The sequence below is a fragment of the Homo sapiens genome, chromosome 10 (assembly GCF_000001405.40).
Source record: "Homo sapiens chromosome 10, GRCh38.p14 Primary Assembly".
Classification (NCBI taxonomy): Eukaryota; Metazoa; Chordata; class Mammalia; order Primates; family Hominidae; genus Homo; species Homo sapiens.
Window position 1 is genome coordinate 8572053 of NC_000010.11, and position 22829 is coordinate 8594881.

Consider the following 22829-nt stretch of genomic DNA (forward strand, 5'->3'; position numbering starts at 1 on the left):
ATTTTGCTAGACACAAACCTGCAATGATGTAAAAGGAGCTAGACACTCTTCTAGACCTAGATCCATTCATTCAATTATTAGGCAGGTATGCAAAAGAGAAATCTGAATAAAGATATATATATATAGCAGAACCATTTGTAAAGTCTCACGTTTTAAGCAATTCAAACACTTCCAAATTAGGAAATATGGAAGGTAACTACATATTGCAGCATAAATCTACTATGTAGATTAAAAATGAGAATAACATGACTGATATAATGTGCAAATACATGAAAATAAGAAATTAGGATTGGTAAGTTTCTATTAATTTTTAAAATTTGTAAAATATATCTCAAAGAGTCATTACCCCATATTACACACACACACACACACACACACACACACACACACACACACAGAGTATTGTTACTAAAGTAAGATAAAAAGAAATCTCTCTGTGGCAGTTGTAGTTGCTCAATCAGATGGCAATTCTGATGTTATGTAGATAGTCATGCTGGAACAAAAGAATATCTAAAACACAGACCACGCCATCTGATATTGTGGCTGAGGCAGTGACTATCTGTATACAATTAAAATTGAATGGAATCAACTTTACAGGTTTTTCAGGCCACTGTCCTTAACTGTTTACTCCCTCTTTTCTCATATGTAGGTTTCCCTCAATTACTAGATATTTGGTGTGGAATTGCCTAAGTGAATTAATTAAATTGTTTTTATTTAGAATGAACAAAGAGTTTAATAGGGATAGATGCAGTTTATTTTCTTTGAAAGTTTCATGCTTGGCTGAATATTCATTTTCTGTTTGGTTCCAGGTCTTCCTGGTTTTTGGAAGACTGTGCTAGTTTGGTGAGTATTTGACAATTCAAGTTTCTTCTACATAGAAGGCATCAGAGTGACATTTCCTAGGAAAATTCATGCTGTGGGCACAGGCTGTGTGACAGTGAAATGACAATATTAGGTGCTCGGGCTCCATCCTTTCTGTCCCCTTTCAGAACATGTTTTAAACATATTAAAGACGTTTTTCTCTCTTGTGGTAAGTTAATTTTGACACTCATAGGTCAACAGTCACATCAGTCATTTGTTTTGGTGATGAGCACTTCTGTAATATTTCTTGTGTAGAGTTGGCAGGAATCTTACAGTCCTTCTCCCAACAGCTGAAAAGACTGAAGTGTTGAAAACAACTTGTCGAATATAAAAGCAAGAGCCCTAGATCTCCGAGAAAGCACATCTTTGCTCTTAAAGTCAAGGCTGGCTCTCAGTAGGGCACATCCACTCAGACTTTCTGGCCCTGTCCATGAGCACTCTGGATCTCTGCAATGGGGCAACGTAATGAACCATCCTTTGGTGTTACCTGAGAGTGAAGAGAGAAAGATGCATAATGAACCATGAATCACAGGAGGTCGGGATGTGAACACTGGAAGGGGTGATGGCACATTCTAAATAGCCTTGAATAAGCATTATATGACTGCTACGAAGGTAGGAGATCAGGGGTAACTGAAGATTACCCCTGATTGCTTACCCATGCAGCTTATCATTGATGTTAGGACACACTACATACCCAGACCTGAACCTCACAATCTTCTTCTAAAGCATTCCAAAAAGTGCTACATGAGACGCATTCGATGAATACATTCAAAGGCGAAGCAGAATAAGGGCTGACTGGAGCAGATGGCATTAGGAAGATTTCCTGAAATAAACATGATTCACAAAATCTTTTTTTTTCTTTTTTTTGAGGTGGAGTCCTCCTCTGTCGCCCTGGCTGGAGTACAGTGGCGTGATCTTAGCTCACTGCAAACTCTGCCTCCTGGGTTCCAGCAATTCTCGTGCCTCAGCCTCCCAAGTAGCTGGGATTACAGGCACCTGCCACCACGCCTGGCTAATTTTTTTTTTTTTGTCTTTTTAGTAGAGATGGGGTTTCACCATGTTGGCCAGGCTGGTCTTGAACTCGTGACCCCAGGTGATCTGCCTGCCTCGGCTTCCCAAAGTGCTGAGATTACAGGAGTGAGCCACCATGGCTGGCAGTGATTCATGAAATCTAACAGAGCAGAAGAGGTAGAATATTTGGAAATAAAGGGAAATATGAAAGAGGAAGGGAGAGTACATTGTCTTTCTTATTTACTGAGAGTATATCATGCACCTAACCCTGGAGATGGTGTTTAGGGATCAAGAGTAACTGAGATAAGTTGGTGAAAGGAATGGTCCTGTCATGAAGGAGGTTTCAAGTTTACAGGGTGCTTAGGCAAGTTGAACTCAATTATAAGAGTGGGAGAATGTTCATTTGGGCAATTGTAGGGCACTAACCAGTTGATTATTGGATGTGACTTTATAGAAAAATCTTCTAGGAGACATTGGCAACTAAGTTAAGGCTTAAAGGAAGGGGAGAGATGACCTGGGTACGGGAGACTCTGGCTGTCATGTGGAGAAGTTTGGATGTACATTTCATCTTACGTCCCCCTTACAGAGGGAAATGGGGACCCAGTGAAAGATCCTAAGCCAGGAATTGATAGGATTAAGTTTGCATCTTAAAGGGGTTACTCTGGTTACAGAAGTGACAATGGATTGGAGAGAGACAAACTGAAGGTGAGGATAGTTCGAAGACTGTTGCGGTAATCTAAGCAATCAATGAGCCAAGCCAAAGTCTCAATGGAGACACAGGAGTGTGTGCGAATTAATGAGATGGACAGGAGACAGAATCACAGCAGTGAGTAAGGCTTGAAAAAGAGTGAGGCAAGACTAACTCCCAGGTTTTGGGTTTTGGCCATGGGATGGATGACACTGCGTGTCCTGAGCTGGACAACACAGAAAGAGTTGTGGGTTTCAGAACAGGAGGGGTGAGACAGGAACAGGCAACAAGTTTAGCTTTTCTTTTCTTGTTTAGTTTTTCTTTTCTTTTATGTACTTTTCTTTCTTTTTTTTTTTTGGAGACAGAGGCTTGCTCTGTCACCCAGGCTTGAGTTCAGTGGCCTGAATACGTTCACTACAGCCTTGACCTCCCCAGCTCAAGTGATCCTCCTGTCTCAGCCGCCCAAGTAGCTGGGACTACAGGTGCTTACCACCATGCCTGGTTAAATTTTGTATTTTTTGTAGAGATGGGGTTTCACCATGTTTCCAGATTGATCCTGAACTTCTGACCTCAAGCAGTCTGCTTGCCTTAGCCCCTTGATTTTCTTAAATTCAAGATTTTTGTGAGACATCCAAGTGGAGATGTCTTACAGGAAGTTAGTAATGATGGAATGGCAAAGAACTGAGCTTATGAGAAAGGGACATGGATTTGAGGGTGATGAGAAGGGTCAGAAAAGACTTTGAAGAGATATGGAACCAAATGATGGATTCAGGAATGTAATTTATGCTAATTCCAAGGGTTCTTGGAATTATAGAGAGGAGAGCTTGATATTATCAGTGTCTGCTTATATTAATCCCTAAGAATCAGAACTTTAATGAGGCTTAAAGAAAAGTTTAGGAGGAAGCAGTGGTGCTAAATAGACTGAAAGCTACCAACTGGAACAGTAAAGACATCTCATAGTGGTGCTGTCAGTGATTTTACTTAAACCATTTGCTTCTAGATAACATCAAACTTCCACCTGTAAGGCAAGGATAGCAATCTGACTCACAGCACTGTTTAAAATTGATCATAATATGCCTTAAAATGATCTTGATCACACCAGTCTTGATCAGTTTAGGAGTTCCTGACTGCATTTGATATGGGATTTCTAAAAATAGTGTTTCATTTGCCCAACTAGGATCATTCATATTTGTAAGATACTTGACTTTGTATAAACACCTTCAAAGACATTACATCATTTGCTTCTCTCAGTAATCTAGTGAAATAGGCAAGAGAGTCATTATTATTCTTTCAATTTTACAGATGAAGAAAACTGGGGCTATAAAAGGTGAAATGACTTGTCCAAGATAAGTCACTATCTAGTAAGTGGCAGATCTGGAAATCTATCTATTAAAGGCACCTGGACTACAAATATGATTAAAATTTTTACCACTATTCCATAACAGTCCATCACTTAGTCTTTTGATTCAGGTTAAATGATTTAACTAGATCAGCTGGACTATACAGATTAGAGAATGTATGAGACAGTCAGCCATGTGCAAGCCATTGGGTAAGGTATTGGAGAGACACAATGACAAGTACAAGACATCTTTAGGAACTGAAAATCTCCTGGAAGCACATAAAATAAAAGTGCCTGGTCAATTGGAAATAGTAATACAGACATAAAATGATAGCAATAATCTAAGAGATCTTAAATTGTTGAGGATGGACCATCAGTACTCTAGAGATTCAGAGAGAAAGTCATTTGCACAAACTTTGTGGAGGAAGCATGACTTGAATTTAGCCTAGGAGATAATCAGAGAGAAAAATGAAAGCAGCTAAGGCCAGGACACACACAGGGCACAGTGGCAATGAGAAGGAACAGTCAAGATTGCATGGCAGGGAGTAGAACCGGTTGGTTGGAATGAATGTTTTATGCAAAGATGTTATGTTGAAAATTCTGTAGAGGTAAAGTGGGCAGATGTTAAAGAGCTTTGAAATATTAATCTAAGAGGGTTAGTAAAGTTTTTTTAACCTGTGTTATTTTATCAGATTCATTTGTTTGTTTGTTTGTTTTTGTTTATTTTTTATGTATTTATTTTTTTTGAGACAGAGTCTTGCTCTGTCGCCCAGGCTGAAGTGCAGTGGCATGATCTCAGCTCACTGCAACCTCTGTCTCCCAGGCTCAAGCGATTCTCATGCCTCAGCCTCCAGAGCAGCTAGGATTACAAGTGGGCACCACCACACTCAGCTAATTTTTTTAATTTTTCAGTAGAGATGAGGTTTCATCATATTGGCCAGGCTGGTCTCGAAATCCTGACCTCAAGAGATCTGCCCGCCTTGGCCTCCCAAAGTGCTGGGGTTACAGGAGTAAGCCACCACACTTGGCCAAGATTAGTTTTTAAAAGATCACATGGGTTAATTCAGTGGAAGATTTCTGAAATTTCACTGTACTGATTGATTCGTTTGTTAAAAATTAATCTCATTTCGTTGTTCAGCTTCCTAACCACAGTTAGGGAAAATCTTCCCTCCTCCTCCATTAGAAATCAACTGCATTTAAGTAATAAAAGTTTAACATATAATTTATGTGCTATTTTCTACTAAATTGCTGAGGTTTTCAAAAAGCAACCTGCTGAGGATCTTTGGAGAATGTTTTACCTGCTAATGGAGAACCTCCCTTCTTTGGGGACTTTCCTGAGAATTTCCTTGAGGTTAGCTTTCATTACATTCAATGGATCAAGACTAACACATTGAAAAGACAACTTTTTCCAACAAGGGAAAGCAAATGTCAAAAACTGACAAAAGAAGTCAGAAAATGTGGCAATTCTTTGGCTTACAGTTAGAGAAGATGATGGCATCCGACATTTTAAGCCACCCGTTTAAAACACACACACATCCCAGTACTTAAGGAAGCTAAAGCTGAGGCTACTTTAAATCTTATCAAAACCACTATCAGGAAAAGAAGACAAAAAGTACTGTATGTTTACTGATAGCCCTAGTCACTATTAATGTCTGACAAATTATATAGCCAGTAGACAACTTTGAGTTATCTTCTGGCGATATCAATGATGTTACAACACTGGCGATGGCTTAGCCTGAACAGTGACAAGAGGCTAAGAGCTTCTGTACTGATGTCTGATTATGTAATATTCGAGGTGTGCCAAAAACTTCTAATCAGGATAAATGAGTTCTGGGGGGTGAAAAGAAAAATGCATTACCTATGTTAGCATAGATTCTGAGACGCTCATCAGGAAACACATTTCATGGTCTCAAAAGAGCTCTGTGGTTCTTCTTTGAAAGGCGAGTACTTTCCAACTCGACAAAGGTTTCACTATTACTTGGTGAAACTGAGTCAGGCACTGTTTTGCAAGTAAACTGAGTAAAAGAAACATTCATTTATACAAATTGCAAATCCTTCTGATTCCACAGAAGAGCTAATTTCCACATTCAGAACACGTGAACTCTTCGGCAGGATCGACTTCATTCTACTTCAGCATGAAGTTAAATTAAATCCTCCAGAGAAACCAATTTGGGGAACTGTCTTTTTAAAACACTATTTTTTCTTCTTCTTCTTCTAACAGATCTGGGTCCTATAATACAGGCAATATAAAGATTTTGACTTTAACTACATAAACAATCTTTCAACCACAATGGACCAACAGTAATTCTGAGTGAAGATATTTATTTCTTGATATCTTGATAATATGATGCATTTTTATTGGCTCTGGGATAACTTGTATGTATATTTTCATTGTAAGTGACTTTGAACCTTTGGCATCTGGTCTCTAGAGTTTTGGTGGCTGTGTTTACTTTCAGAAATTTTCTTATGCTACTAACAATAGGGTTATCTGAGATACGACTGAATCTTAAGTGCTAGCCAAAAAAGAAAAGAAAGAAAGAAAAATCATGTCTTGGACCAGATTTGACCTGTGGGCTGCCAGTTTGCAACCACTGATTTAGTTTTATTCTTAGTGAGTTACTCATGGACATATAATTTGTCGGTGACAGAGGTGGATCAAAAACAGAGGTTCCCCTAATTTTTAGCCTTAAATTTTCCCCATCGTATCATGCTCCCAATTTTATTTTATATATTTCTTCTCAATCAAATGGCTCTGTACCATTAAATTTTATTTTTAGAAATATCAAATCTATCTTTGTTCCAGGTTGATTTCTCTCAATAAAACTTGGGTTTATAAAAATGCTCATCGCCTTTCTTCTATTTCATATAAAAGGTTGAAAGGGCTTCATGCTTGATTTTAAGTTAAGATAATAAAGTCATAAAAGACATAAAAATAATGTGTGAGCAAATGTCTTTGCCTGCTGTCTTCACAATTTTTATTTCAATAATCACCTGAAATCAATGTTTTGGTGAAGAAGAATGCAGGTGGACTAAAAATGGAAATGTGTTGCAATAATTCGGTAATGAATTTTATTATTGCCCCACATTGTGGATACTGTTGGTTATCCACCCAACACCTGTGCCCCTGTACTCATTAATTAAGAACCTAATTACTTATACATTCACCCCTCCCTCTGATGACTAAGGAGCAGACGACTTCGTTCTCCACTGTGGGAGCAGATCATGCTTAATCTGGGGCAGTAAGTGCAGGCATTTATCTGTTTTCTCTTACTGGCCCAGGGGTAGGTCTATAGTAGTAGACCCAACAGACTGATGGGGGCACTTACACCCAGTGCTTGAGGGAGAGCTTTCTCTCTTGGTCCTGCCAGACATGAACAAGAGAACTCTGTAGTTCTAATTGCCATGGGCAGCCACCTGATGACCATGAGGGTGACCAACCTTAAGGTGAAATTGATGCCTGCAGGGAGGTAAGACAGAAAGAAACACAGTCTTCATTGACATGATTGTGCTGATGATCATACTGAGCCTGGAGCTCTCCTTTCATTCTCTGAATTTGCAGTTATGTGAAATAGTACATTTCCTTGCTATTTAAGCTAGTTGGTGATGGGGCTTTCTATCACCTGCTGCTGAAAAGGTCATTGCACACATTCTAAAGCTGCTAGAAGAGTGTGAGGAAAGATGTGTTCACTTGTTTTGCCTTCTCCTCTATGTTTACAATGGAAATCTGCAGTGCCGAAATGATCTTACCTATGTAGAAAATCATTAGTGCATGAGGCAGAAGCCTGGACTCTAGTTTGGACCCTGGCACATTTATGGGCTATGTGATGTTGGATTAAACACTTAGCATCACTTAGCTTCTTTCTTTCTCTTTAAATGGGCAGAAAATACCTGCCCCAACTACCTTACAGGGTTTCTGTAAGAATAAAATAAGATAATGTCAGTGAAACTGCTTTGAAGAGTACAGGCTCTCTCTCTCTCTCTATATATATGTGTGTGTATATATATATCTTATATGTATAAAATACATATAATAAATATATTTACATATATGTATATATTTTTGAGATGGAGTCTCACTCTGTTGCCCAGGCTGGAGCTCAGTGGCATGATCTCAGCTCACTGCAAGCTCTGACTCCTGGGTTCATGCCATTCTCCTGCCTCAGCCTCCTGAGTAGCTGGGACTACAGGCGTCCACCACCATGCCCAACTAATTTTTTTGTATTTTTTTAGTAGAGATGGGGTTTCACTGTGTTAGCCAGGATGGTCTTGATCTCCTGACCTCGTGATCCACCTGCCTCGGCCTCCCAAAGTGCTGGGATTAGAGGCATGAGCCACCGCGCCCGGCCTCAATATAGATATTTTAAATGTTAATCACCCACTCCTATGAGACTCCTCTTAAATATGTTTCTGATGAAATTATCACAACAAATCTTGCAGGAGAGTGGTGGTATCCCCAGTATACAAGTGGGAGAAACTGAGCCTCAAAAAGCCTAAATACTTTGCCCATGGCCACCCAGATGGCAACCAATAGAATGGGCATTCCAATCTGGGTCTATCTGACTCCAAACCTACACTTCACCCACTATGCCTCCTACGTAGTGTGATGAGCTGTGGTTGGGAAGGCCTGTCAAAATCCTAGACGCAATTAAAATGGGCACCAGGAATTGCTACTCCCCCTTGAACACCTCCTGTCTCCCGGCTCTGTGCTTGACCTCCACAGTCTCATTGACTCCCCTCGAGAGCCTTGGGAGGTACGGCATTACTATCCACATCTTATAGACGAGAAAATGATGTGCAAAATACAAATGTCTGTCTTGCCCAAAGTTGCATAGTAGACAAGTGATTGAGACAGGATTCAGACCTTTATCTAGGTCTAGTAAAGTCTTAATTGAATGCATTACCTCCTAGGTTGGAAAAGAAGCAGGTGATATGAGGGCCAAGGAAAGAGATCACTATTATTGAGGTGTAAGCGTGAGTGTGGCTGGGGTTTCAAGTCAAATGTACACAGGACAGCCCTGCTGTAATCAGTGCTGGCTACCTGGGTTGTTACTCTCTGATAACACCAATAGATAGTAAGTAGTTGTTACTCGCTAATGGCACTAATAGATAGTAAACTCTAATGGTAAACTCACGCTTATTACTGAGGTGTAAGCATGAATGTGGCTGGAGTTTGAAGTCAAACATACACACAACAGCACTGCTGTATCAGTGCTGGCTACCTGGGTTGTTATTCTCTAATCCCATGTCAACCTTCCTGTTGGGAGAGAACTGTTGTGCACAGCCCTACCCAGTCGGTGTGGTGCAGGGAGGCCCCACCAGGAGAGACCAGAGAGGGCCAGCAAGTCTGGGAGAGACCTAAACAGCAACCAGGGACATTTTTCCCATAAGAAAAACAACCAGAAACTGATAATCCCCAAACCTATAACATGCTAATAATTTTTGATATAAATAGCTTTAAAATTGATCACTGCCGTAAGTAATATACTAAATGTAATTCAAAAGTTTTTAGTGACGTTGGCGTCATGGTAGTGCACAGGCACATTATTCTGTGGTAACAATTGTTTAGTCTGTCTTTCCCTAATGCCAGACAATTTGCAATCACTCTGGCTCCCAAGGCGTTTTTCTTTCAGCATTCTTTCTCCTTCCTAATTTGGGCATCTGATTTGCTGTCGTCTGAGAAATTGAATAAATGCAGTTGTTAGAATTGCATGTAAAATAGGAATCAATGAAGCCTGCACAACCAGCAGTGTGGTGATGAGGGCTCTGTGGCTGCAGAGATTTTGGAAGATTGGGTAGCTACATTCCATATGATAGGGTTTTCCTTAAGACTGATCGAAAGAATTCATGAGGTCACTTGGTCCGACCCTCTTATGCAGTATATGAGGAAACTATGACTCAGCTAATAACAATGAGCCAATATGTATTGAGTATTTATGATGGTCCAAGCAATACTGTACACGCATGATCTCATTCGCTCCCCCCTGCCCCCGTCACAGCTCTGTGGACTAGAAACTGTTACGCTCATTTCACAGATGAGAAAACAGACGCACAAGAAGGTTTAGTAACTTGCCCAAAGTTACACGGTTCATAAGCAGTTGAGAGAGAGCTCAAATCCACACAGACTGGTTGAGCAGGGCCATGGTAACCACTGTGGGCAACTGGAAGTGACTTGCCTGAGGCCAATCAGGAAATCAGAAATCGGTGAAGTGTAAAGATGAGAATTCAGGCCAGATGAGATTATCAGCCTAGGAGTTGTAAACTGTGCCTTGATGTCTAAATCCAGTGTTAACTACACACACACACACACACACACACCACACAATCATGCTGGTTTACAAACTTTCCAAAGTTATCTTTCAAATCACCTAATTCCCCCACCAACCCACTCTCTCTTTATACCACATTATAGTACTTTTTACTACTAGTGAGTAAAGGATTAGATGGGATTTTGGCTGTTTAGAATTCTGCTCTTGGCAAATTGTCCTGAGAAAAATGACCAGTGAAAATTTGAGAAATAAAATACCGGGAAAAACCGTCCTCAGTATTAGCTTCATAATGAGAAGCCAAAATCAATGTGTGAAAGTTTTCATCAGGTGAGTAAATTTAAACATTTTAAAGAGAATATTTCTAATCAAACATTTATCAGCAGCCAATTAAGACTTTCCAGTCCTTTCCAAAGCCTTGTGATTGGAGATCCCTCGAATTACTACCTTATTTTTTTTAAATCAAATTTCAAAAAGTAAAGGCAGGATTTCTATCAGGACTTCTCCCTCTTCTGAGGTTGTCTCAGCAGGGTTGTCTTAAGTGTCTGCTGGTTTATTGTGTCAATTCTATACACTTATTTGTCAGAGATAAAGTAAATGGTATGGGCTGAAGTTCTGAACAGACACCTCACCAAAGATCTACAGATGGCAAATAAGCATATAAAAAATGGTCCATATCATCTGTCATCAGGGAAATGCAAATTAAAACAACCATGATAAACCACTACACACCTATTAGAGATACTAAAATCCAGAACACTGAGCCCTCATTCACTGCGGATGGAAAGGTAAAATGGTCCATTTGCAGCCACTTTGGAAGAAAGTTTGGTGGTTTCTTACAAGACTACACATATTCTTAATTTTTTTTAGAGATAGGCTCTTGCTTTGTTGCCCAGGCTGGTCTCGAACTCCTGGGCTCAAGCAATCCAAAGTGCTGAGATTACAGTCATGAGCCACTGTGCCCAGCCCTCTACTTTTTTTTTTTTAATTTTTTTATTTTAATTTCTTTAGAGACAGGGCCATGCTCTGTTGCCTAGGCTGGAGTGCAGTGGTGTAATCATGACTCATTGCAGCCTTGACCTCCTGGGCTGAACCAATCCTCCCGCTTCAGCCTCCTGAATAGTTGGAACTACAGGTGTGCACTTCTGCACCCAGCCAATTAAGAAAATTTTTTTGAGATGATGTCTCACTTTGTTGCCCATGCTGGTCTCAAACTCCTGGGCTCAAGCAATCCTCCCACCTCAACCTCCCAAAGTGCTGGGATTATAGGGATATTCTTACCATGGATCCAGGACTCATGCACCTTGGTATTTGTCCAAAGGAGTTGAAAAATTATGTCCACAAAAAAACCACACATAGATGTTCACAGAAGTTTTATTCATAATTGACAAAACTTGGAAGCAATCAAGATACCCTTCAGTAGATGAGTGGATAAATAAACAGTGATCCATCCATACAACAGGATATTATTAAGTGCTAAGAAGAAATAAGCTATCAAGCCACCAAAAGACACTGAAAAACCTTAAGTGCATATTACTAAGTGAAAGAAATGCATCTGAAAAGGTTGCATTCTATATGACGTTTTGGGAAAGGCAAAACTATGGAGACAGTAAAAAGATAAGTGGTTGCCAGGGGTTGGAGGAGGAAGGGAGGAACAGGTGGAGCACAGGGGACTTTAAGGTAGAGAAACTACTCTGTATGATACTACAGTGATGGACACATGTCATTGTACATTTGCCCAAACCTACAGAATGTATAACATGAAGAGTGAGCCCTCATGTTCACTCTGGACTCTGGATGATGATGGTATGTCAATGTCGGTTCATCCATGTAACAAATAGACCACTCTAGTGGGAGATATTGTTAATTGGGGAGGCTGTGGGTGTAGGGGAGCAGGGAGCATATGGGAAATCTCCATACCCTCTGTTCAATTTTGCTGTGACCCCAAAACTGCTCTGAATAAGGTCTATTTCAAAAAAAAATTTCCTCAGAAGCTTTTATGAATAGCTCAGAAGATCTCTACTGCACAGGATAATTATTGCAGTTGATAAAAATTTCATTTAAGTTTGCAACTCTGCAAGGTTTCATTTTGGCAAATCAACATTTTGCATCAGTAATGCATATTTCTTTACACTTCATTTATTAGTGTTATAATTTTGCAAAGATTTCCAGTAGAGCATTTATTTGATCACGTATGCATACATATGTATATGTGTGTGCCCACATGTATGAATGCATGTGTCTGAATTTGTACATGTCTTTAGAAACACATACATACATGTGTGCCCACTGTATTAGATCTCTGTTGGTCACTGGCTATTTACATAAAAATTTTCTCTGTCTCGGTTGTGGTAAATGGTAGTAGTAAACAGAAATCAGGATGTGTGAATTAGGTTATGTGTAACCATTTGCCATTTGCACTGTAATTAATTTTATAGTCTATGCATCAACAGTATGTAAAACACCCTGTCTGATTGTTCCTTGAAATCTAGGGCTTCTGCTCTGTGACTCCTGACAGTGGGACTCCAAATCTGTTAACAAAGTGGAACAGGAAGTCCTGGCCAGGGCAATGGGACAAATACTTGGGTACAGGAGCACTTAGACCAGTCCAGGCCACTTCCTGTGCAAGTCTGGGAACTGCATTCCTTCACGTGCTTTGTCTACCTGCTCTCCTTCTCTGAAGGCAGGAGAGAGAGAGAGAATCAGTCTGCAAGAGAGGAATCCTCTGTAGACACATGCTTCAATGATTCCCAACCTTAAGGAGTTCAGTGGCTGATTCATGCATGTATTTGGAGGCGCCTTATCTAATTATAACTACATGAGTGTAACTGTCTTCTTTCAGCCAATGTGCCTATCCAAGTTTCCATCTCTGTATCTGCTCTAACAGCTCTTTCTAAAATAACTTTCACCATCACATACAAGTGCTCACTTTGAAACCTGATTATTAAGTCCACAGAGTACTAGCTGATATATTTGCTATTTCCCAATTGGAGTTCTGTTCAAGATATCATTTCATAGCATTGCGGTTTGTTTTGATGGGAAAGTGGGAACATTTATTTGCTTTGTGAAGTGAGAGGAGGCACCTAAATGCAAGATACATCTGATAGGATGTATCAGGGGAACACAGGGGGAAAAGATCCAATAACAGTTATAAATAGTAGCTGCTATTTGTTGATCATCTAACATACATCAAACTCTGTGCCATGGGCTTTGCACACATTATCATAATCATACCAAAGACTGTATAAGGAGGGCTGTGTTGTTTCCCCTATATGAATGAGGAAACCGGGACTCAATCCTTCTTGGCTATGAAACATATTTTTCGTTTTCTTTTCTTTTTCTTTTTCTTTTTTTCTTTTTTTTTTTTTTTTTTTTGAGACAGAGTCTCACTCTATTGCCCAGGCTGGAGTGCAGTGGCGCGATCTCAGCTTACTGCAACCTCTGCCTCCTAGATTCAAGCTATTCTCCCCATTCAGCCTCCTGAGTAGCTGGGATTACAGGAGCGCTCCACCGCACCTGGCTAATTTTTGTATTTTCAGTAGAGATGGGGTTTCACCATGTTGGCCAGGCTGGTCTCAAACTCCTGACCTCGGATGATCCACCTGCCTTGGCCTCCCAATGTGCTGGGATTACAGGCATGAGCCACTGCACCTGGCCCATATTTTTTTCAAAGGAGGCTTTAGACATAGAAAATTTGATACATGGATTCAGATTCTCAGAGTTTAATGTGGATTTTGGAAAATCATTCCTCGACTTTGTTTTTTCCCACAACTCTTTTGTATTTAAAGTTTCTATTGGATCTGATTTTACAATTTTACTAAACAATGTACCTTTATTGTTTTCAGTGGAGCATGGGGTTAAGAGTGTGGATCTAGAATCAAATTTCCTGGCTTTCAGCTCTGACCATGCCACTTCCCTGCTCTGTGACCTTGGGCACAGCAACTGGTTTCTCTGTGCTTTCATGTTCTGGTCTGTAAAATGGGTAATTATGGCTAGCACCCTCCTCACTGAACTGTGATGAAGGCGAAACGAGCCCACGTGAGCCACGTTCTCAGAACTGCATTTGGTATGTGGTAAGCAACATGTTAGGTAGGTTATTTTTACTTTAATTCACCGTTCCTTCCAAGCTACTGGAATGTCCCTCTTCCAAATGTAAATGTGAACAAGGAAAAACACGTTCTTTAATACATGCGTTGTTGCATTTTGAATGTTCAGTTGCCATTGAGAACATATCCCTTTGTTATGAAAGGAAGTACTAAAGAAAAAGAGCCTGTGGTCCTAAAGGGCCCCTCAATCTCAGACACAGCTGATAAGCTGGATTATCTCATCAAGGTTGTGAGAGGAATGGAAACAACAGGAGTGTCCAGGGCCATTTCATTGCTCTTGTTAAATACGATGAAAATTGACCAAGTAGTAGCCCATGGCAATAGGTTAGTCAAACTAAGACTTGACTAAGAGGCTGATCATAATAATGTAATGAGAAAAATGAGCAAGACATTTGAATGGCAAGGTTGTGTGGGTGGCAGGCTTGTCGTTGAGGTAACTGATGTTATAACTTTATTGCACTCTTATTTCAGTCAAGTGAAATATCTCCATGACAAGCCAAGACAGAGCTCTGCAACAATAGACACTTACTGTTCTGTTCGTTCATTCTTTCTCTTTCATTCTTTCTCCTTTCTTTCTTCCTTCCTCCCTTCCTCCCTGCCTCCTTCTTTCCTTCCTTCCTTCCCTCTCCCTCTCCCTCTTTTTCTTTCTTTCTTTCTTTCTTTCTTTCTTTCTTTCTTTCTTTCTTTCTTTCTTTCTTTCTCTTTCTTTCTTTCTTTCTTTCTTTCTTTCTTTCTTTCTTTTCTTTCTCTTTCTTTCCTTTCTCTTTTTCTCCTTTTTTCTCTTTCTCTCTCTTCTTTCTTCCTTCCTTCCTCTCTTTATTCGTCGCTCTCTTTCCATTTCTCCCTCTTCTCTCCCTTCTTCCCTCCCCCCTCTTCCCATTCCTTCCTTCTTCACTTCCTCATTTCCTCCACTCCTCTTTTGAATTTTGGGTAATCAGCTCTTCTATTTTCTTACAATAAACAGCCATCGAAATGACTTTGGCAACACATGCATTACAGGCAGCGGCAAAACTGTAGGTTTTCATCTGCCACAAAGGTTAAAGAGCTTTAACTTTTCAATTGTCAGCTTTAACCTGACAATTCCTGTCAGCCCTGAATTGTGAAAATGTATGGTAGATAAATTGTCTAAATGCATTAAATCAATGTAAGTAACATGCAGATAATAGTGGGGAAAGTATGGCTACACATAACAAAGAAACATAAAAAAAATGACAAGTTGAATATAGTCTCCACTTCTTCATTAACTTTGTTTTGATGAATCTGTACCGACTTGTTAGAATTACCATTGCTGTAATATTGGAATGGTATAGTAAGAAAAACAGAGTGTAATTATTCAGTGCACTCAGAGACTTCTGAGACATCCTGCTTCATTTTTTTCTATAGAAGTCAGCAAATTCAACATCGAACATTCTGACAGGGAAGAAATAAATCAAACCAAACAAAATTTAAAAACCTAATGCAAGCAAATATCTTTTAATGTTTGTTTCTATTGCCTTTTCCTCTATGATGATCTCACCTCTCAGTTTTTCCTTGTTTAGAAAGTATTTTAAATGAATTAAGGAGAGTCACAAATGAGATGTCAGAGCAAATTCTTACATCAGAAGTAATTATTTACCCACCTCCGAACTCCCTCAGATGTTGAACTACTCAAAATCTGATTTATTTCTATCCCAGTCATCTTAGGAACTTGTGATCTTACTTTTCTGAGCAATCACATAGGATGTATTTATTGCTTTAGTTATTACTTAAGACGTATAACCCTCGCATGTCAGGTTTTTTTCTTTTGGGGCAAAGATTTTCTCATGTGTAAATCTCATTTACTGGTGAGATGAGAAGTCTGGACTGTATCTTATGCTGATGTTTCTCCTTGCAGCAGTCTCCTACATATAATAATAGGCTTCTCAATAGGTCTCTGCCGCCTGATGGGTGGTGTATGCCTTGACCTCTTTCTCACGTGAGTTTGTACCCAGCAACAGCAGGACAGCTTCTCATTGGCAGGGGCTGGGTGGTTGCTAGTAACTAAACTTTTTTTCTGTCAACAAAAGGAGGAGGCAATGCTGGGCCCCATTTGGGATTCAGCCCTCCTGTTGTGCTAATAATGTGATGTGTCATAAACTGGGCTATTCGCAAATTCACATGAGGAGCAATCCTAGGTTTGTTTTCCTTGTGAACCCAGGAGAAATGACATTCTTGTCTGTAAATTCTCACCAGAGTTACACATGACCTTGTTCACACTAGGGCATGGTAGGGCTGAGGCTAGAAAGATGAGAAGAGAAGAAGAAGAAGATTCTTGGATTGTGGTTCTGGTCTCTCTTCCCTCTCTCCCATAGCCAAATCCCGGCAAAGGAGAAAGAGGCAGGCATAACTCGAGGGTGAAAATTTATGTTCACAATGAATGAGGCTCTCGGGAGGTCTAAAAATGTACCCCTCTGTCTAGAGAGAGGGGAAAAAATTGGAGAGGCAGCTATGTCTTCTTTTATTCCCCATTTGGAAACAGAGTTAAATCAATGCAATTGACTTCAACCCATGAATATCATGTGTACATTTTTCCAGACTCTTAATTTTAAAGCCAGTGTTTGGAAATGTTCAGTGATGACATACAGGTGACATATAAGCAAATGGCCAAGGTTGACTTTATCATGGAGTTTTCAGGTCACCTGCTAACCATTCCAAGTATCTGATTCCAAAGCAAATAGATCTGATTCCAAAGTGAAATATCGTATAGCTCTTAGGATCTCCTCTGGGGCATTTAAGCTAAGTAAAAGGACAAGAAATGATCTACTGCACAGGATACCACTGCAGTCAAATCACTAAAATTTCTGGAGATGAAAATTTTATTTCATTTCTTTGGCATTAAATCATTCATAATGGCTTTTCTCTTGTGAAGTTTTATGAAAATGGCAACTACTTATTCAGATATGCAGATAAAACTCTAGTAATTTCTATTCTCTGCATAATCGTTACTAGGTCTTTCTGAGATATTGATCAGCTTCACTCATCTGAAAATACCTGACAGCTCCTGTGAACATAGTCAGCTCCCTGGGCCTCAGTTTCTCCATTTGGAAGAAGGTGATGTGAAACTATTGATTTATTAAATATTACTATCTTTTTCATTCATAAAAACAGAGAATTACTATGAGGAATGCTAGTAACAATTTATTCAGAAGACTTCTCTGGGCAAAGTATCTAGAATATTAATTCCATATTGAGAGAAAAATCTGTTCATCTACACCCCACTACCTCCACTTTATGCATATTTGGTAGAGATGGGGAATGAGAAGCCGCGTTTGACTTATGAGACCTATTAGTTTAGAGAAACTTGTATTACATGAAATTTTTATGAACTGACCTCCTACTTGTACTGATGCTGTTTTTTAAACTTGTTTATTATGCAAACTAGTGGATAAAAGGCTTGGATGATTTCACGTTCTCTATAATAAATCAGAGTTATTAATCACCGAGGTGTGTGGTATAGTTGGTTGCAGTTTTCTCAATCAAAGGGTGAAACAAAATAATTTTTATATGCTATTTTTGTAGGCATTTTTGGCTCTATAATGAATAGTATTTTCAATATAAAAATAATAATTCGACAAAAAAGCAGTATATTTTTGTTACTGTGCTATTTCATCTCCCTCAAAGCAATCTATGTTACAAGCTCTTATCTTTAGAAGTTGCATTCTTGCAAGGCTATTCTGCAAGAATACACTTTGCTTAGACTCAAATCCATATGACATATTCAATTCATTATGTTGGGCTTGACATTAAAAAATGTCAAATAGCTATTGGATAATTACATATCATCAGAAGATAATTTTTTTCCTTTAGCTTAACATTATTTAACAATTTTTTGACTGCTATGTTTGAAGTTCTTGAGTTACAATTTTTAACCTAGATACTCCTCTAAAGCTTTTGAGATGGCTTTTGAAAATGTTTGTGAACCAGGTACGGTGGCTCATGCCTGTAATCCCAGCACTTTGGGAGGTCGAGGCAGGTGGATCATTTGAGGTCAGGAGTTTGAGAGCAGCCTGGCCAACATGGTGAAATCTTGTCTCTACTAAAAATACAAAAATTAGCCGGGCATGGTGGCACACACCTGTAGTCCCTGCTACTCGGGAGACTGAGGCAGGAGAATCACTTGAACCCAGGAGGTGGAAGTTGCAGTGAGCCGAGATCATGCCATTACATTCCAGCCTTGGTGACAGAGTAAGACTCCATCTCAAAAAAAAAAAAAGTTTTTATAGTACTTGAGTGTTTAAATGGGACACCAACTACTGGTTATTGTACTAATCTATATCTACATAACAGAACTCAGAAAGTCTCTAAGGAGAAAGATCACCATGCTTCTTGGAGCTATGCAATGAAGACTCCCTTCTCTATTCTTCTTGGGTATTTTGTGTTGTCAGCATTAAATTTGTTCCAATTAAACTTAAACTGGATTTCCCAAACTTGTTTGATCCTCACCTGGGGTGTCTTTAAAAAATGGAGTGCTTAAAAAACACCTGTGTTCAGAATTTTCATTAGAGAGTTTGTTCTTTAGGTCTAGGCAGTGCACAGGAGATTCTTAGGATCAAGCAGATTTGAAAATAGTGTCATTGAGGAAAGCCCAGAATCAGCTAATTCTGTATGAGGATCTCATTTCCAAGAATGTACTAATCAATTGAGTTGGGAAAAATAATTTTTAAAATAAAGAATGAAACATTCTACACAAATGCTATAAAACTGGAAGAAAATTCATCTTTCCTTTTGGTCCTTGCAGAACTGTAGCTTTTCAGGAGCATATCATCAATCTGCAGTATTAGGAACTACGAGACCATGCAACGTTGATTCTCCTTACAGTTGCTATCAATGAAACAATCCCAGACTGGCTGTTAAAATGACCAAATTCTCTCTTTCACCTGCCTCATGGTCCAGGTGTCTGGCAGAAAGAGACCCAATGACCATTTTGAATTTCAGTTGACGGTACTCATACTTCATTTATTACTGATAATATGGGCACTGTCTGGGAGTGTTTGCAGAATTTTCAATCACTTGTAAAATTCTGGGTTATGGTGGCTACGGGTGAAAATGGCTTATATCTACATGGGCGACTTAGTGAATATGGAACTGTTGTTCTCAACTCTCTTTAGCCCTTCATTAGGAAATCATGGACAAGCTTGTTTTTCTTGCCTGGGTTTACCACAGCCAAGCCCACGTGACTGGAGATGAAACTGCCTTCTTTAAAGCACACCAAAAAAGTTTACTGTATGTTTTCTTCTCAATTTTCACAATTTTATTGGTCTTTAATAAGCATTTTCTCAAGAGCTTGGCAGTTTCCAAATGTTTTAAAATCATTTTTTACTAGCGGCTTCCACGACACACCTGTGGAGTGGGTCTGTGCTCTCAGTCATGTTTTTATGGGACGTGTACGAGCAGAAATGCAAAGAGGAGAGACAGAATCCCATTTTTAAACTCGGTGCCTTACTTTAACCCACAGGGAGAAAAGGGAGGACTTGCCTGCTTCTTCATGTTTGATGTGCTATGAGCAGCTTCAGTGATGTGGTTTCAATGAGCAGGTGCTTTCATTTCATTCTGTTTCTACTAAAAAACCTCCTCAGAAACGCAATTTATGATAAGTTTGGGAAAGTCGATTCTCCAATTCATAAGGGTGAATGTATTGCTTAAAACCTAAACTAAACAACTCCAAACTTTAAAAAAACTACCATGTAATTCTGGTTGTTGGGAATAAATCCCACAATATGATTTTTCAGTGCAGATAGGTGACAAATTAGCATAATGATATAATGACTTCTGTACATCTATCCTTTACACGAAAGGTGTTTAATTTACTGAAATACAAGCTCGTGATTAAGTTCTAAGAATTTTCGTTACTAACTTTCTGATTCTTCAGCCCCCTTCCTAGAAGCAATCCTTTATGTTTGGCCTATTTAAGCTCTCACAAAAACTATTTATCACAATTCTATGTGAGTTCTGAATATTTCTTTATTTAACCATCTCCAACTTAAAACTTTCTTTAGTCACAATTGCATCATTTATTGGGCATTTGAAAACTTGAGTTTGAAGACCTAATAACCGCTTAATTCCCTTCTTTCTTTTACAACACTTCAGATACATTGTTGTTAGGAAACAGAGCTATTAACTCTAAATTAGTTTAAAAAAAACCTAAATAAGTAGCTCCTCTAGTAAAATTTATAAGCTTGTAGAAAGCACAGATAGTCTGTCTTCTCCAATCAATATTTGAATTAAGTGGTAGTAGTTTTTTGCTCATTAAAAAATGTTTTCAATAAGAAGCAATGTTTTGATAAATGGAGGGGAAAATTCAAATTACATAAAGCTTTATAAAATTATTTTCATTATCATATATTTATTTTTAGGAGTCTGACTTTGTTACAAAATTCTGTTATTTTTGTGATGTTAAAAGTTGAATTTATTTTTGCCTTAGTTAAACTAAATTTAAAACTGCTTTTTATGCTTTGTTTTTTATGTATAAGGTTAGAAAACAAACAGTCCAGCAAATGAGAGTCCAACATCAATAAAAAATTTCCAATATGTATAATTAATAAATATTGAAAATATTTTTATTTATTGTTAATAATTTGTTGAGAAAATGAATTATTTTTATCAGAGCAAAAATAAAAATTCATATTTAGAAAAATTTCATTTCTCTTTTCCTATTCATCTAGTCCATAGGTCAAAAGCAAGCAAAACATGTATTTTGGGGAAATATACAATTATGTGTATGAATTATGCTTTTATATAAAGGTAAAATATAGGACAAAATAGGTTAAAGGAATTTTTGAATTTTTAAATGCAATTACACATATTATTCATATATATTAGTGTATCTTACTTACTTTGTGTCAATAATATTTTTACTTACTTCACACATTGTGAAGGTTTTATATTTATCTCAAATTATGAATTTCAGAATGATGCAATAAAAGTTGACCTACATTTTAGAAATTATTTTACTGAATAACTTTTGATGGTGACATTTTAAGATAAGATAATTCCAGAGAAACACCAATAAACTAAACTTTCTTAAAAGGAAGTTGGTGAGGCTTTAATAAAGTAAATAGAGGCAAATTCATTCCATGATAACTTTTAGATCAAGTATACTGTACTGAGATTAATTGTTCTTTTTTGTCTCTCTTTTAATTAATATTAATTATCATCATCATCATTCAAAATTTGACATTGCTAATATGTTGTCTTTTCACAGAACTTTCCTTGTACATCAAAGGATGGGCCGAGGGTGCTGTCAACCAATTCTCTTCCTCCGATCTCTTCAAACGCAGAGTCGCCCAGGCTCTGACAGTTTTGATGCATGGATAAGGACCGGTTACTTTGCATTTTTTTTAATATGGCAGAAAATTCGAACTCATATTTTAACAATAAACACTGAAATAATGGGCGATATTTCTTTACATTGCATTGAGTGGAGAAAGAATGAGAGAAAGAAAAATGGAAGTAATCTTCGACCTTGTAGAAAATGGGTGAGTTCCCTGGAACTAGGATCGGCTTTTACAGCATCCTCCTCAGCCCTTCCTTGTACAGTGCAGGATTTTAGCTTTAAGGTAGAGATTTCTCCCAATATCATAGGATCTAATCGTTCAATCCATCATTCAAGAATGACAACAATAAAGATATAATTAGCCGTCATTGTAGTCAAATTTACTACACTTCCTAGTAGGGAGCACATTTGTGTTTTTAGTCCCTTTGAAACTCAGGTCCAGTCTATAAGCGTGGATTGCAGGCAGATCTTCAAGACGAGTGATTATTTTCTAGGTCAAAGGGATGGGTCTTGGAGAGTTAGTTTACCTGCAGTAATAAGCCCGATGGGACAAATCCAAAACGCGCTAACCCTGTACCTAAGGAACCCGGAATGGTGAGTGTAACCGAGACCCATCTGGTAGCAGTGATTCAACACACACCTCAACGGCACTACCCCAGAAAGAAACATGTTGAACCCTTCCAGAAACTCATTCTCAAGGCATGCACATGCAAACAAAGAGAACCCCAAGACTCACAGTTCATTTGAATTCACAAGGGAAAATTTTCGGGATGATTGTTGCTTTGACGTTGTCTTACTGTTGCAGAAGGAAGTCAAACCTGTTTTTAATTGCAAAACCAAATGGTTTATGCATGGGCTCTGCCATGCTTGTGTGAACATGTCGCTTTTATAACCCCCTCCCCCCTCCACGAACACGAGACTAGGCTTGCCAGCATTGTGTTTGAGCATGGTCACATTTAAAATGAAGAGCCTTGCAGGGGTTTTTGAAGGTGAGTGGGTGGGGGGGATGTCAATCTGTCAGAGATGTCACCTTAAGTGGATCTATCTGCCTATATGTTACCACTTGCTAATTATGGATTTGGGTGATAATTGTCATAAGCTTTGCCACAAAATGTGCAATAAAATGCATTTTCTGGGGGCAGAGGGTGATGTGAGGAGCGGGCCGAAGCTAGGCTCTAAGGGCTGGTAATCTACAGATTGAAAGCCTGTAGGATTGTGCTGTAGGATTGTCTCACTGTTTAATGTTCAAATGAATACACATATTGTTGTG

At 38.7% G+C, this 22829-nt stretch overlaps 2 long non-coding RNA genes across 2 annotated transcripts; one reads left to right on the plus strand and one right to left on the minus strand.

The window, feature by feature from the left end:
* Window positions 1-694: 694 nt before the first annotated feature.
* LOC105376398 (uncharacterized) lies at window positions 695-22339 on the minus strand. The gene is made up of 2 exons (NR_134492.1): window positions 22296-22339; window positions 695-1348 (listed from the first exon to the last, which is right to left on the minus strand). It is a non-coding gene; the product is annotated as an uncharacterized LOC105376398 (long non-coding RNA).
* Window positions 17255-21682, plus strand: LOC105376399 (uncharacterized). The gene is made up of 3 exons (XR_001747362.2): window positions 17255-17337; window positions 19742-19820; window positions 21488-21682. It is a non-coding gene; the product is annotated as an uncharacterized LOC105376399 (long non-coding RNA).
* Window positions 22340-22829: the final 490 nt, after the last annotated feature.